The following is a 17,671-nucleotide window of genomic DNA, read 5'->3' as shown; positions in this document are numbered from 1 at the left end:
TTTATACCCATTGAACAACTCTCCATTTATCCCTCCCCCTGGCCCCAGGAAACCACCACTCTAGTCTCTGCTCCCATGAGTTTGACTGTTTTAGATACCACATATAAATAGAATCATGCAGTACTTGTCCTGTGATTGGCTATTTCACTTAGCAGAATGTCCTCCAGGTTCATCCATGTTGTCATACATGGCAGGATTTTCTTCTATTTTAAGGCCAAATAATATTCCATTGTCTAAATAAGCCACATTTTCTTTCTTTCTTCCTTTCTTCCTTTCTTTCTCTCTCTCTCTTTCTTTCTTTCTTTCTTCTTTCTTTCTTTCTTCTTTCTTTCTTTTCTTTTCTTTTTTTTTGAGATAGGGTCTCTCTCTGTTGCCCAGGCAGGAGCGCAACGGCACAATCATAGCTCACCCAGCCTCAAACTCCTGGGCTCAAGCAGTCCTCCTGCCTCAGCCGACTGAATAGCTTGGACTACAGGTGTATACCACCACACCTGGCTAATTGTTGTGTTTTTTGTAGAGATGGGGTCTCTCTTTCTTGCCCAGGATAGTCTCAAACTCCTGGACTCATGATCTTCCTGCCTTGGCCTCCCAAAGTGCTGGGATCACAGTCATGAGCCACTGTGGCTGGCCTCCTTTTTTTTCTTTTCTTTTCGGGTTTTTTTTTTTTTTTCTTTTTTTCTTTGTTGAGACTGAGTCTCCCTCTGTCGCCCAGGCTGGAGTGCAGTGGCATAATCTTGGCTCACTGCAAGCTCTGCCTCCTGGGTTCACGCCATTCTCCCGCCTCAGCCTCCCAAGTAGCTGGGACTACAGGTAGCCCGCCACCACGCCCAGCTAATTTTTTGTTTGCTTGTTTGTTTTTGTATTTTTAGTAGAGACAGGGTTTCACCATGTTAGCCAGGATGGTCTCGATCTCCTGACGTCGTGATCCGCCCACCTCAGCCTCTAAAGTGCTGGGATTACAGGCGTGAGCCACTGCGCCCAGCCCGGCCTCCTTTTCTTTATCCGTTCACCTGTTGATGAACATTTGAGTTGTTTTCATATCTTAGCTATTGTGAGTAATGCTACAATGAACACGGGAATGCAGGTATCTCTTGAAGATATTGGTTTCAATTATTTTAGATATATGCCCACAAGTAGGATTGCTGGATCATATGGCAGTTCCATTTTTAATTTTTTGAGGAACCTCCATATTGTTTTCCGTAATGTATACCATTTTACATTCCCACAAGTAGTGAACAAGGGTTCCAATTTCTCCACATCTTCGCCAATGCTTATTATCTTTTGTGGTTTTTTTTTATAATAGCCATCCTCAACAGGTATAAAATGATATCTCATTATAGTTTTTATTTGCATTTCCCTGGTGATTAGTGATACTGAGCACCTTTTTAAGATAACTGTTGACCATTGATATGCCTTCTTTAGAAAAATGTCTATTCGAGCCCTTTGCCCATTTTAAAATCAGTTTGAGTTTCACATTTTCTTTTGAGTTGTTGAAGTTTCTGTTTTTCTTTTTTCTTTTCTTTTCTTTTTTTTTTTTTTTTGACAGAGTCTCGCTCTGTCTCCAGGCTGGAGTGCAGTGGCGCGATCTGGGTTTACTGCAACCTCCAACTCCCTGGCTCAAGCGATCCTCCTGCCTCAGCCTTCTGAGTAGCTGGGATTATAGGCAAGTGCCACCATGCCCAGCTAATTTTTGAGTTTTTTTCTGAATTTTTATTTTTAGTAGAGGCGGGGTTTCACCACGTTGGCAGGATGGTCTCAATCTCCTGACCTCATGATCCGCCCGCCTCGGCCTCCCAAAGTGCCGGGATCACAGGCCTGAGCCACCACACCTGGCCAAGTTGCAGGAATTTCTTACATGTTTTGAATGTTAGCTCATTACAAGATATATGGCTTGCAAATATTTTCTCCCATTCTATAGGTAGCCTTTTTGTTCTGTTGATTATTTCCTTTGTGGTGTAAAAGTGTTTTAGTTTGATGTAGTTTCACTTGTCTGTTTTTGCCTTTGTTGCCTGTGCTTTTGGCGTCATATCCAAGAAATAACAGCCAAAACCATCATCAATAAATATTCCCCCTATGTTTTCTTCTAGGAATTTTACGGCTTCAGTTTCTTATGTTTAATATTTAAATATAAGACCTGAAATTGTAAACTAAAAACTGTAAACTTAAACTGAAACTATAAAATTCTCAGAAGCCAAATTAATTATTCTTTTAAAGAAATTTAAATCAATTTAATTCAGTCCATTTTGGGTTGATTTTTGTGTATGGTGTAAGATAGGGGTCTGATTCATTCTTTTACATTGGGATATCCATTTTTGCCAACACCATTTATTGAAGAAACTGTTCTTTTCCCAGTGTGTGTTCTTGGCACCTTTGTCAAAGTCCTATTGACCATATATGTGTGTGTTTCTTTTTGGGCTCTCTATTATGTTCCATTGGTCTAAATGTCTGTCTTTATGCCAGTAGCATACTTTTTAAATTATTTTATAATATATTTTGTAATATATTTTGAAATCAGGAAATATGCCTCTAGCTTTGTTCTTCTCTCTCAAGATTCCTTTGACTACTCTAGGTCTTTTGTTGTTCCATATGAATTTTAGGAGACATTACAACTAATGCCACAGAAATAAAAAGGATTATAAGTACTAGTATGAATAATTATACACCAACAAATTGTACAACCTAGAAGAAATGGATAAATTCCTAAAAACACACTTTTTTTTAAACTTTTTTTTGAAATAGATTCTTGCTGTCTTACCCAGGCTGGAGTGGCACAATCAAGGCTCACTGCAACCTCCACCTCCCAGGCTCAAGCAATCCTCCCACCTCAGCCTCCCAAGTAGCTGGGACTACAGGCACGTGCCACCATACCCAGCTAATTTTTATATATATATATATTTTTGTAGAGATAGGGTTTCACCATACTGCCCAGGCAGGTCTTGAACTCCTGAGCTCAAGCAATCCACCCACCTCAGCCTCCTGAAGTTAGAAACACACAATCCAACAAGACTGAATCATGAAGAAATAGAAAACCTGAACAGACTAATAACAAGGAGACTGAATCCATAATCAAAACCTCCTAACAGTAGCAAAAAAAGCCTGGGACCTTATGCCTTCACTGGTGATTCTACCAGGTATTTAAATAAGAATTAATTCCAGCTATTGTCAGACTCATCCAAAAAACTGAAATTGGGGGAACACTTCCAAACTCTTTTATGAGGCCATCATTATCCTGATACCAAAGCCAGACAGAGGCACCACAAGAATAGAAAATGATAGGCCAATATCCTTAATGAACATAGATGCAAAAATTCTCAACAAAATACTAGCAAACCAGATTTGACAGCATATTAAAATAATCCTACACCATGATCAAGTGGGATTTATCCCTGGGATGTAAGGATAGTTCAACATACACAAATCAATAAATGTGATATACCACATTAATAGAATGAAGGCTAAAAATCACATGAGCATCTTAATAGATGCAGAAAAAACACTTGACACAATTTGACACCCTTTCATGTAAAAAATATGCAATAAACTAGGTACAGAAGGAAAGTACCTCAATATAATAAAGATCAAATATGACAAACCCACAACTAACATTATACTTCACAGGGAAAAACTGAAAGCTTTCCTTCTAAGATCAGGAAGAAGGCAAGGATGCCCATTCTCCACCACTTCCATTCAACATAATATTGGAAGATCTAGCCAGAACAATTAGGCAAGAAAAAGAAATAAAAGGCATCCAGCATGATCTTCTATGTAGAAAACCCTGAACACTTCACACAGCAAAACAAACAATCAAAAACTATTAGAGCTAATAAATGAGTTTGACAAAGTTACGAGATACAAAATCAACACACAAAAATCAATTGCCCCTCTATATGCTGACAAAAAACTGTCCACAAAGGAAATTAAGAAAATAATCCCATTAACAAAAAATAGCATCAAAAATAATAAAATATTTAGGAATAAAACCAATCAAGCAGGCTAAAGACTTGTGCACTGGGGATGGCCATAGTGGCTCATACCTGTAATCCCAGCACTTTGAGAGTCCAAGGTGGGAGGATTGCTTTAGGCCAGGAGTCTGAGATCAGCCTGGGCAACATAGCAAGACCCCATCACTAAAAAATAAAAAATTCACAATGTGTGGTGACACACACTTGTAGTCCCAACTATTTAGAAGGCTGAGGTAGGAGGATCACTTCAGCCTAGGAGTTCAAGGTTATAGTGAGCTATGATCGTGCCACTACACTCCAGACTGGGTGACAGTGCAAGACCCTGTTAGTAATATTTTAGTATTATTATCAAAATAGTTTTGGCTGGACATGGTGGCTCACGCCTGTAATTCCAGTGCTGAGAGCCTGAGGCAGGTGGATCCTTATATCCCAGGGATAAATCCCACTTGATCATGGTATAGGATTATTTTAATATGCTGTTAAATTAAACGTGATTTGCTAGTATTTTTGATAATTTTTGCATCTATATTCATTAAGGATATTGGCCTATTGTTTTCTATTCTTGCCGTGCCTTTGTCTGGTTTTGGTATCAGATAATGATGGCCTCATAAAAGAGTTTGGAACTGTTCCCCCATCTTCAGTTTTTTGGAAGAGTTTGACAATAGCTGGAATAGGCTGAGCTTGAGAATAGTCTGGGCTTGAGCCTAGGAGTTCAAGACCAGCTTGGGCCACATGGCAAAATCGTGACTTAAAAAAAAAAAAAGAAAATAGTTTTGATCTCATTGAACCCCTGAATAAGAGGTTTACAGGCCATACTTTGAGAACCACTGTACTATTATAAAATAAATTACTTACAGCTCACAAGTGGGTTATGGCAGTTTCATAACTGGTTCATCTGTCTGGGAATTCCTTCCCTCTTTAACCTGCAGAGCTCCTATCCATTTTTTCAAAAGTCCAACTTGAAAATTGTTTCCTTTGTAAAGCTGTCCCTGACCCCTTCCCTTTTCTTCTCCAACTGAGTTCATCTTTTTCTCTTTTGTCTTGCCATGGCACACATATATCTGCTTTTGTACTAAACAACAGTATTGCACTTTTTGTTTACATGTCTTACTTATATCCTTAGCACTTATTGGACACTGAATAATTTAATGAGACTGAAATTTTATAATTATTTACCAGAAAATCGTGGCAATGGCTGTTTCTTCTTCTGTGGACTGTTTTCTAGGGTTTAAACACAGTACTGCTGCCATTGAATCACCCTGTACTATAGATGTGGGATACTCTATTCCTTATCATTGTATTAGGTTGGTGCAAAAGTAATCGTAGTCTTGCCATTAAAGGTAATGGCACCAACTGAATAGTTCTTAGTTGAATCTCCTTACTTGTTATTTACATATACATCTTACAAAGAAATATTAACCCACATATTCAATTCTCATCACAAGTTATACTGAGATTATGTATTTTCAATCAAATCTGTTTCAGCTTTTATTTATCTTTCTAAGTTAAAGTAGTACCTATTTACTGAACTTCTCTGTTTATCATCATCAGAAGAAAATAGCTTAAATTTCTTTAAAAGAATAATTAATTTGGCTCATAAGAAAAACACTTTATAACATAGTGGTAACACTTATTTCATCTGAGGATTTTAAATGAATTGTTAACAAAAAATCAGTGTACATTTTTCGTTGTGTGTACTATTCATTTTAAGGCTTGTTGGCAGAAAAGGAGAATGCACTTAATGGATTGTGATTTTAATTGAAGGATTTTTTTTGTCCATTAAGACTATTATGGGCATAGTCCTTTTACGCCATATGTGTTTGAAGTTCCCATCCTGCCAGAAATATATATTTTTTCAAATCGAGACAATTATCTCTTCTCAGAAAAAATTCTTGCACACAGAAGAGCAATCATGTCATTAACTAGAATGTGAAATGAGACAAATGACAGAACAAACAAGGAACAAACACATTGTCATACAGGAAGAATGTGCTAGCGTGCAAGAGCTTATGCATTACTGCTGTTAAGACAAATAATTTGATATATCAACAAAATGTAACATACTGTGTAAAAAGTTTTATAAGTGTGTGTGTGGGTGTATGTGTTTGGAGAATGGCTATTCTTGTTGATAAGTCTTCATTATTACATTTTAGCCTAAGAGAAAATGACTGTTTTAATTCAGATGTAATTCAGCAAAGACCACTGTGTAATCATTATAGCCATCAACAAACTGATTCATGTGCAGTTGGTCCAAAAGTTACAAAAGCTGTTTCTGAGTTCTTGTTTGTATCCACCATTTTAAGATTACATCAGAATTAAACCATGCAGGACCTGAACTGACTTCAAAGACTAGACTTAAACTTCTAGCTAGTTTAGCTTTTTTCTTTTATTGGTTCATGTTTTCCATTTGGCTTCCATATCCTGTTCTAGCTTGATGCCCCTTCTAGAATTTCATTTACAAGTCTTACAGTCTTGGTTCGTGAAACACACTAATTAATACTGTGATGGAAGCTGAGTATTTTAGCAATATCATGCCTCCTGCTTGGAAAAATATCTGCTGTTTTTCCACCCATGTCTAGTATCATATTGAACATGGCAAAATGCATCTTAAGTGGAATCTTAAATGCATTTAATCAAAATGCATTTAAGGAGGACTGTTTACACTGTTGCCAATACTACTAATCATTAAGCTCAAACCTTTCAATGCAACAGAAATATGAGATTTACTTTTTCCCAATTAGATTTTTTTTCAAGCAAAACAATAAAGTAAAAACAGGCCATTTTAAGATTTTTTAAAGTCCCAAGTAATACTTCAGCTAACAGCACTCCAGCTTTTAAAAAATGGGCAATTCTATGGGTTTTGTAAATCCCTTATGACTGTATTAAGCAATACTAATTTAAGGGACAAATTTCAGTTCCATAGGTCTTTGGCCTGCCTGGAAACTCTATGCAGGCAGCCAAGCTTAGATTTGCAGCTTTATGCTTATAGAAGCTATGTCTATAACCAACTTCTCAATACATTTTAATCAGTGCTATGGTGCATCTATCATATTTTAGTTGGAGTGGAATAAACCTAAAATTGTTTATTTGCCTACCAAATCTGTAGCAGATCCAGAAGGGACCATATATTTTTGGTTGATTCGAAGCTCACTTTACCTGTATGCAGTCTTGTAAAAATGTAACTACATGTGAATTCCATATTTTTTTAGCAGCATGTAGGGCTTGTTTAGTAGGTTTAAAACTTTTGGAAAAGTAGTTGGGTGGCTTTATAATAGTTGAGCATTTTTTTTGAATGTGAGATTATAGTTAAGTTTTCGACTCTTAGATTTCTCTAACCCTAGCAAAGTGATGAAAAGAAAGACCAACCACTCTTGAAACTCAAAATTCATTGAGCCTGGAACATAACACTTTTGTTTGGTATGCTGACTTGGCTACATTAGTTGGCTGTCTATAAACCAAGAGAGATGGAAAGGATGCTTTGTCAATTTGTGCTGTAGATGGTGCAATCTGCACTGCCAAGTTCAAAGCCCTATTTGCCAGGTTCCCTTCTTATCCAAATCCTCATGTATTTGAAAGTTTTATGTGTCCCTTGAGACCTTCTGATAAGTGTGATTCTGCCATACTCCCAAGAACCCAAGGATCTAAGATTAGCTAGTGAAAAGATAATTTATAATGCATTTACGTTGAGCTCTGATCGGCAGTGTTTGAGTTAGTGTAGTCCCTGTGTTCTGTCTAATGTGTGTGTATGCAAACACAAAGGAATGACAAGTTAGTTCCAAAACAACAATTTTTTAAAGTACAGGGGGAAAAACCTGTATGTGCTTACTTAAGACTGTTTTCCTTATAATTTTTTTTTTTTTAATTGATCATTCTTGGGTGTTTCTCGCAGAGGGGGATTTGGCAGGGTCATAGGACAATAGTGGAGGGAAGGTCAGCAGATAAACAAGTGAACAAAGGTCTCTGGTTTTCCTAGGCAGAGGACCCTGGGGCCTTCCACAGTGTTTGTGTCCCTGGGTACTTGAGATTAGGGAGTGGTGATGACTCTTAACGAGCATGCTGCCTTCAAGCATCTGTTTAACAAAGCACATCTTGCACCGCCCTTAATCCATTTAACCCTGAGTGGACACAGCACGTGTTTCAGAGAGCACCGGGTTGGGGGTAAGGTCATAGATCAACAGCATCCCAAGGCAGAAGAATCTCTCTTAGCACAGAACAAAATGGAGTCTCCTATGTCCACTTCCCTCTACACAGACACAGCAACAATCTGATTTCTCTATCTTTTCCCCACATCTCCCCCCCTTTTACTCGACAAAACCGCCATCGTCATCATGGCCCATCCTCAATGAGCTTTTGGGTACACCTCCCAGACGGGGTGGCGGCCGGGCAGAGGGGCTCCTCACTTCCCAGAAGGGGCGGCCGGGCAGAGGCGCCCCCCACCTCCCGGGCGGGGCGGCTGGCCGGGCGGGGGCTGCCCCCCACCTCCCGGACGGGGCGGCTGCCCGGCGGAGACGCTCCTCACTTCCCAGATGGGGCGGCTGCCGGGCGGAGGGGCTCCTCACTTCTCAGACGGGGCGGCTGCCGGGCAGAGACGCTCCTCACCTCCCAGACGGGGTCACGGGCCGGGCAGAGGCGCTCCTCACATCCCAGACAGGGTGGCGGGGCAGAGGCGCTCCCCACATCTCAGAAGATGGGTGGCCGGGCAGAGACGCTCCTCACTTCCTAGACGGGATGGTGGCCGGGAAGAGGCGCTCCTCACTTCCCAGACTGGGCGGCCGGGCAGAGGGGCTCCTCACATCCCAGACGATGGGCGGCCAGGCAGAGTCGCTCCTCACTTCCCAGACGGGGTGGCGGCCGGGCAGAGGCTGCAATCTCGCACTTTGGGAGGCCAAGGCAGGCGGCTGGGAGGTGGAGGTTGTAGCGAGCAGAGATCACGCCACTGCACTCCAGCCTGGGCAACATTGAGCACTGAGTGAACAAGACTCCATCTGCAATCCCGGCACCTCGGGAGGCTGAGGCTGGCAGATCACTCGCGGTTAGGAGCTGGAGACCAGCCCGGCCAACACAGCGAAACCCCATGTCCACCAAAAAAATACGAAAACCAGTCAGGCGTGGCGGCGCGCGCCTGCAATCACAGGCACTCAGCAGGCTGAGGCAGGAGAATCAGGCAGGGAGGTTGCAGTGAGCAGAGATGGCAGCAGTACAGTCCAGCTTCCGCTCGGCATCAGAGGGAGACCTTGGAAAGAGGGAGAGGGAGAGGGAGAGTGAGACCGTGGGGAGAGGGAGAGGGAGGGGGAGGGGGAGGGGGAGGGGGAGAGGGAGAGCTCCTTATAATTTTATAATGTCTTTTCCAAGATGACATGCTCTAATTTTTCAACATTTAATTGAAAATTTCTTTTGAAATATAGATAAATCTAATTTAGAAATGTATTCCCTGGCTTCTACTTTAAAAACATCTATCACAATTTTCAGATACTTTAACATGTATGCCTTTATAATATTCCTATTTTACTAAAGGGGGTAGGAAGAAAGTCCCAAAATGATAAAATGCATTGTTTACACTCTTTCACATTCTTATACGAAGTGAATGACAAAGTTATGGTCAGTACTAATAACATCTGAATTTCCTTACTATATTGATGATGATTATGATGATTGTTAACATTTATTAAGCAGTTTTTATGTACCAGGTTGTTCTATGCATTCCTCACAACAACCAGAACCATCAATAAAAATTATTATTTTATAGATGAAATAACTGGGGCACAAAGAGGTTTAGTAACTTGTCCATTGTTATACTGCTACAGCTTATACCATTAAAGCACAATGCCTGGCTGGGTGCAGTGGCTCATGCCTGTAATCCCACCACTTTGGGAGGCCAAGGCAGGAGGATTGCTTGAGCCTAGGACTTTGAGACCAGCCTGAACAACATAGTGAAACCCCATCTCTAAAAAACAAAACAAAACGAAAAAGCACAATGCCTTTCATCATCAATTCCCTTTTAATCCCATCAAAGGCCAACTCAAATTTGAATCATTACAACACTTAGATTTAGTGTGAGAGGAGAATTGAAGTTCTAGTCTCATATTAAGCAAATTAGCCTTCTCATTTGACATTAATAATAACATTGCTTATTTCCTAGAAATAAAATAGACTATTAAGTAGTAAGTGCAGATCTCATATTTCTGTGACAGATAGATAGAATAATCTCTTTAGAAGTATTTGGTTTTTCTAAAATGTGATGCTTTACTTTGGTTTTGGACTCTAGTATGTGGCCTGAAAAAAATAGTGACTTTGTTTTTAAATTAAAGTAAATTTTTATTTTTGTAGATTTAGGGGGTACAAGTGCAGCTTTCGTACATGCACATATTTCATAGTGGTGAAGTCTAAGCTTTTAGTATACCCATCACCCAAGTAGTGACATGGTACCCAATAGGTAATTTTTCGGCCCTCACCCTGCTCCCACCCTCCTACCTTTTGGAGTCTCCAGTGTCTGCTATTTCACTCTGTATGTCCATGTGTACCACTTGTTTAGCGCCCACTTATGAGTGAGAACATGTGGTATTTGACTTTCTGTTTCTGAGTTAATTTATTTAGGATTATAGCCTCCGGTTCCATTCATATTCCTGCAAAAGGCATGATTTCATTCTTTTTATGGTATTCCATGGATATATACCACATTTTCTTTACTCGATCCTTCACTGAGGACACTTAGGCTGATTCCACATTTTTGCTATTGTGAATAGTTCTGTGATAAAATACGAGTGCAAGTATCTTTTTAATATAATTTTTTTCCCCTTTGGATACATACCCAGTAGTAGGATTGCTGGATCAAATGGTAATTCTATTTTTAGTTCTTTGAGAAATCTCCATACTGTTTTCCGTAAAGGTTGCACTAATTTACATTCCCACCAACAGTGTATAAGCGTTCCCTTCATTCCTTTTCTCCACATCCTTGCCAATATCTGTTGTTTTTTTTTTCTTTTTTTTCTTTTCTTTTACTTTTTTTCTTTGGAAACAGTGTCTCCCTCTGTCACCCAGGCTGGAATATAGTGGCGCAATTATTGCTGTCTGCAGCCTCAAACTTCTGGGCTCAAGCAATCCTCCCAGGATCAGCTCAGCCTCCTGAGTAGCTGGGACCACAGGCATGTGGTTTTAATTTACATTTCTCTAATAATTAAAAAAACATTGACTTTGAAGATTTTTTTTCCTCTGGTAAAATGTTATTTGATAAGACAATGCTTATAGGTATAATTTTGTATTATTGGTCATATAAGAATTGATTAGCCACTTGAACTCTCAAAGTACGAAGTGAGAAAGTCAATCTTTTAAATGTGGAAGTTATTTTTTGAATGATCTCTGAGACCCCTTTTAATGGCATGGGAACTTAAATGTATGTTGTGTATGTGTGCATGCATGCATGTGTGTTAAGATGGGTTTCACATCTGAACTTTGCCATCCAAATATACTTATACATATCCTCATGGTATTGTTGTTCATGGGTGATGAACAATATGGATACTTTGTAGCTTCCTTTTTACTTTTCAAAAAATAGTCTTATTGGCCGAGCATGGTGGCTCACACCTGTAATCCAAGCACTCTGAGAGGCCGAGGTGGGCAGATCACGAGGTCAAGAGATCAAGATCACCCTGGCCAACACGGTACAAAATTAGCTGGGCATGGTGGTGCATGCCTGTAGTCCCAGCTACTCAGGAGGCTGAGGCAGAAGAATCACTTGTACCCAGGAGGCAGAGGTTGCAGTGAGCCGAGATTGCGCCACTGCACTCTGGCTTGGCGACAGAGCGAGATTCCGTCTCAAACAAACAAAAAAGTCTTATTACATGCTATGATTGGTACTTACGTCCAGATAGGTCAAGCTCTACTATTGTAATTAACCCTGAAATCTAAGTGGTTTAAAATCACAAGGAGGCTGGGCGCAGTGGCTCATGCCTCTAATGCCAACACTTTGAGAGGCTGAGGCAGGTGAATCACCAGAAGTCAGGAGTTCGAGACCAGCCTGGCCAATGTGGTGATACCCCATCTCTACTAAAAGATACAAAAATTAGCCAGGCTTGGTGGCGGGTGCCTGTAATTCCAGCTACTTCGGAGGCTGAGGCAGGAGAATCACTTGAACCTGGGAGGTGGAGGTTGCAGTAAGCCAAGATCACACCATTGCGCTCCAGCCTGGCCAACAGAGGGAGACTCTGTCTCAAAAAAAAAAAAAAAAAAAAAATCACAAGGTGTTTGTTTCTTATCACAGTCTTAGTGGGTCAGTCATCTCTCTTTCATGGCTCTCCTTCAGGCAGTGACTTAAATTTCTAGGCTCCTTCTGTGAGGTCACCATCCTAAAACCATGACCTTTGGGTCACTGTGGAAGGGGAAAGAAATTGAGGCAATTGTACAGTGGTGGAAGGGGGAAGGGAGCATTTTATGGCAGGCCTGGAAATAGTATATATTATTCCACATCCTATTGTCCAGGATTCAGTGACATTCCCCTAACATCGTTACACAAGAGGCTGGGAAATATAGAAATCTAGTGTACCTAAGATAAGAAAATGAAATGGAGTTTGGTGAACACATAGCATTGTCTCTGCCTCAGTGGAAAGGCAACTTCTTGGACAGAAAAGTGAAGAGGTACAAACTACAACTATGTTGTGACTAGCTACAGTTTCATACAAAATGTAAAATGTCCCTAATTCAGTATGTACACTTCCTCTTCTACATAAGGGATTATTAGGGCTTAGCAGCTTCCAAATTGCAGTAGTCTAGTCTTAGAGCCAGTGGTCAAAGGAGAATGGGATTACTAAATTGTCTTCATATTCCAATAATTGAATGGCACCCGGGTACTTCTTGGATGGATTCTTGATGTTTTACCTTTATCTTCAAGAATTCGCAGATCATCTTCTCTGTATCCTCAGTGCATGTTAAGATTACTAAACTTAGCCAGGTACGGTGGCTCATGCCTATAATCCCAGCACTTTGGGAGGCCAAGGTGGGTGGATCACTTGAGGCCAGAAGTTCAAGACCAGCTTTGCCATAATGGTGAAACTCCATCTCTATTAAAACACCCAATCCCAAAAAAAATCTGTGGGCATGGTGACTCCCACCTATAATCCCAGCTACTCGGGAGGCCAAGGCATAAGAATCACTTGAACCCGGGAGGCAAAGGTTGCAGTGAGCCAAGATCCTGCCACTGCACTCTAGCCTGGGTGACAAAGTGAAACTCTGTATCCAAAAAAAAAAAAAAAAAAAAAAATTACCAAACTTATAGGAAGCACAACGATAAGGGTCATGTGTGTTTCCTATCATGTAGAGGACTAAGCTGGAAATTACATGATATAGGTTTGTTGGCCTACCTTTAATTTTTCACTATATAAGAATAGGATTGGTCTATAAAAACTTAAGAAGTATTTGTGGACTTCTTGTACTGGACATGATGAAGTAACTAGCATCAGACCTTCCCTCCTGCCATAAACAACTATTAAACTAAACAAAATGTACAGAACAATTTCTTTTGGGTATGGGATAAGGCACAGTGCATGACTATAATGCTTGAGAGAAAAGAAGCTCAAAATGAGAATTTTACATTCAACCTTGGGGGGCAATTTTCCAAACCACTTTCAGAGAATTGGAGTAGATAAATAAATCGGAGTTTGGGCCTGCAGAGGTTACTGGAAATTACAGGACAGGGTATGTAGATAGAAAAGAGTGACAAAGAAGGAGCCCCAGGAATCTACATAGGAGTTTCCTTCGGGCTCTTGGCCAAATGCTAAACTGCATATGTGCTTGGCAAGATTCTGTAAGATATACCAGCAAAAAACAGCTAGAGGAGCTGAAAACTAAACCTAGATTTCAGAAGTTGCACAAAGCTATGAAGACATTGGAGTTCTGATCCACTCAAGAGTGGAGATACCATGTTGAGACACCAAAAAGACCATGCCCTAGGAGTAAGGACCATGCCATATGAGTAAGAGCCAAATCCTAGAACTAAGGAAAACTGGAAATAGACTCACCACAGAGGCCTAAAATAAACCTCAACAGAATCAAAGTGATCTACCAGTAATTTAACTTTCTTTCAGAAAAATATTTGACACTCTTCAGAGGAAGATAACAAAATCCAGATTTTTTTTATGTCCAGCATAAGATTTTTAAAATTGCTGAACATGTAAAGCAGCAGAGGAAAAACTGACCCATAATTAAGAGAAAAGGTGGTCAACCGAAGAGACTTACAGATGACCAAGATTTTGGAATTAACCAGAAGGACTTTAAACTCATAAATGTTTTAAAATGTAAAAGATCTTTCTCCTGTTGAACCTTATATGAGACCAAAGCCCTGCCTGGCAACTTGACTGTAACCTTATGAGCGAGCTTGGCCCAGAGTCATCTAGCTAAGACAGCTAAACCACACGCAGATTTCTGACCTACCAGATACTGTGAGATAATAAATTACAATATGTAAAGGAAAAGATTGAAGAAATGGCAAAAGAGATGGATGAAATTGCAATAGAAAAAGAGAAACTCAGCTGGGTGTGGTGGCTCACGTCTGTAATCTCAGCACTTTGGGAGGCCAAGGGGGGCAGATAGCCTGAGCTCAGGAGTTTGTGATCAACCTGGGCAACATGGTGAAACTACTCTACTACACAAAAAACAAATTAGCCAGGCGTGGCAGCATGCACCTGTAGTCCCAGCTACTCAGGAGGCTGAGGCAGGAGAATCACTTGAACCCATAAGGCAGAGGTTGCAGTGAGCCGAGATCATGCCACTGCACTCCAGCCTGGGCAACAGAGTGAGACTTGATCTCAAGAAAAAAAAAATAAAAAAACCAGAAAAAAAAGAAAAGAAAAAGAGAAACTAAAAAGAAAGTCAAATGAAAATTCTAAAATGGAAAAATATGGTAATCTGAAGTGAAGAATCCAGTGGATGGGCTTCCCAGCAGATGGACACAGCTGAAAAAGGGATGAGTAAACTTAAAGACAGGCTAATGGAAATTATCCAAATTAAAGCACAGAGAGAAAATAAAAGGAGAAAAATAGGACAGAGTTATAGAGAACAGAGGGATAATATAAAATAATCTAACAGGTATAATGGAGAGAGAATGGGGTAGAAAAAATATTTGAAGATAAAATGCCCTCGATTTTTCCACATTTTATGAAAGATATCAACCTACATGTGCAAGAAATTCAGAGAACCCCAAGCACATAAATTATTTGAAGATGACACCTAGGGTCATTGTAGTCAAAGTGCTGTAAACCAAAGATAAAGAGAAAATCTTAACTGCATCCAAAGGAAAAATACATATTACATTTTAAGGTACAACAATAAAAATGATGGCTAATTTTTTATAGGAAACAATGAAAACTAGAATGAAAAGACACCTTTAAAGTGATGAGGCTGGGTGCAGTGGCTCACACCTGTAATCCCAACAATTTTGGAGGCCAAGGTGGGTGGATCATCTGAGGTCAGGAGTTCGAGACCAGCCTGGCCAACATGGTGAAATGCCACCTCTACTAAAAATTCAAAAATCAGCTGATTGTGGTGGTGGACACCTGTAATCCCAGCTACTCAGGAGGCTGAGGCATGAGAATCTCTTGAACCTGGGAGGTGGAGGTCGTAGTGAACCGGGATCATGCCACTGCACTCCAGCCTGGGCAACAGAGTGAGACTCAGTCTCAATAAATGAATAAATGAATAAATAAATAAATAAAGTGATGAAAGAAGAAAAGAATTTGTCTACTTGGAATTCTATATCCAGTAAAAATATTCTTCAAAATTGAGGGCCTTCACTTCACCTTCCTCTTCCTCTTTGTCAGAGCCAAGAATTAGGTTGGCACAATCAGTGGGAACAGAGTCAAGAATTTAGCTGGCAGTTTTGGCAGAGACAGGTTTAAGAAGATGGCCTGTATAGTTAGGAGACTGATTACATATGGGTATTGCCAAAAAGTATATTGAGGATAATAGGAGCTAGGTTTTCAGTGTTGGAGAAATTACAAATATGGTAACAGAGGATGCTAGAATAAATCTTGTGGTGTTGGATTGGTATTCGAACTATTGGTGTGAATTATTTGAAATTATATAATTTCAAATTATCTTCCTACAAAATACTTACAAATTGTTAATAAGTACAGATATTTATTAACTTTACAGTGGAGAAATAAGGCACATGCCATCTTTCTAAAAATTGTGGTAAAATCTAAATAATTAAAATTTACCTTCTTTTTTTTTTTGAGACGGAGTCTCGCTCTGTTGCCCAGCTGGAGTGCAGTGGCACAATCTCCGCTCACTGCAAGCTCTGCCTCCTGGGTTCAAGCCATTCTCCTGCCTCAGCCTCCCGAGTAGCTGGGATTACAGGAAACTGCCACCACGCCCGGCTAATTTTTTTTGTATTTTTAGTGGAGGCGGGGTTTCACCATATTGACCAGGATGGTCTCGATCTCTTGACCTCGTGATCTGCCCGCCTTGGTTTCCCAAAGTGCTGGGAATACAGGTGAGAGCCACTGTGCCTGGCCCAAATTTACCATTTTAACCATTTTCAGTTAAACCATGTTCATTTTAACCATGTTCAGTGGCATTAAGTACGCTCACATTGCTGTGAAACAATCATGACTCTCTCTCTCCAAAATCTTTTTGTCTTCCCAAGCTGAAATTCTGTACCCATTAAGCAACAACTACCCATTCTCACTTTCCCCCAGACCCTGAGAGCTACCATTCTACTTTCTATCTTTATGAGTTTGACTACTTTAGGTACCTCATATAAGTAGAATCATACTGTATTTGTGTTTTTGTGACTTATTTCACTTAGCATTATGTCCTCCAGTTTCATCCATGTTGCAGAATGTCCTGTTTTTAAAGGCTGAATAATATTCTGTCATATGCATATATCACATTTTGTTTATCATTCATACATTGATGGCCACTTGGGTTGCTTCCATCTTTTGACTATTGAGAACAGGCTGCTATGAACATGGGTGTAGAAGTAACTGAGTCTCTGCTTCCAATTCTTTGAGGTATATATGGAATTGCAGGATCGTTTGTAATTCTGTTTAATTTTTTGAGGAACTGCCATACTATTTTCCATAGTGGCTGCACCATTTTATATTCCCCCCAGCAGGGCAAAGGGTTCAAATTTCTCCACATCCTTAACACTTATTTTCTGTCTTGTTGTTTGTTTGTTTGTCTTTTATAATAGCCATCCTAATGGGTGTGAAGTGGCATCTCATTGTGGTTTTGATTTGCATTTCCCTAATGATTAGTGATGTTGAACCTCTTGTGCTTATTGGCATCTGTATATTTTCATGGATAAATGTCTATTCAAGTTATTTGCCTGTTTGCTGCTTCTTCTCCTTCTCCTTCTCCTTCTCCTTCTTCTTCTTCTTCTTTTTTAAGAAACCAGTGCTCCCTGTGTTGCCCAGGATGGAGAGGCTTTTCACTACAATCATAGTGTACTGCAGCCTTGAACTCCTGGGCTCAAGCAATCCTCCCATTTCAGCTGGGACTACAGATGTGCACCACCATGCCAGACCCCTTTGCTCATTTGCAAATTGGAGCTGTTGTTGTTGTTGTTGTTGAGTTGTGGAATTCTTTATATATTTTGAATATCAGATATATGATTTGCAAATTTTTTCTACCATTCTGCAAGTTGCCTTTCACTTTATTGATTGTCTTTTCATGCATAAAAGTTTTATATTTTGATGTAGTCCAGTTGCTTTTTTTTT

General features: G+C 40.0%; 1 annotated feature.

The window, feature by feature from the left end:
* Nucleotides 596–831: a silencer, noted in NCBI's record as "fragment chr8:100947244-100947479 (GRCh37/hg19 assembly coordinates)". NCBI's record gives its function as "represses an EF-1alpha promoter that drives an FKBP-Casp9 reporter gene in an ReSE screen in K562 erythroleukemia cells {active_cell/tissue: K562}" and the evidence as "EXISTENCE:reporter gene assay evidence [ECO:0000049][PMID:32094911]".

Source organism: Homo sapiens, chromosome 8 (assembly GCF_000001405.40).
Source record: "Homo sapiens chromosome 8, GRCh38.p14 Primary Assembly".
Taxonomy (NCBI): domain Eukaryota; kingdom Metazoa; phylum Chordata; class Mammalia; order Primates; family Hominidae; genus Homo; species Homo sapiens.
Note: the sequence above shows the minus strand (reverse complement) of the source record. Positions and strands in the feature narration are given on the sequence as shown.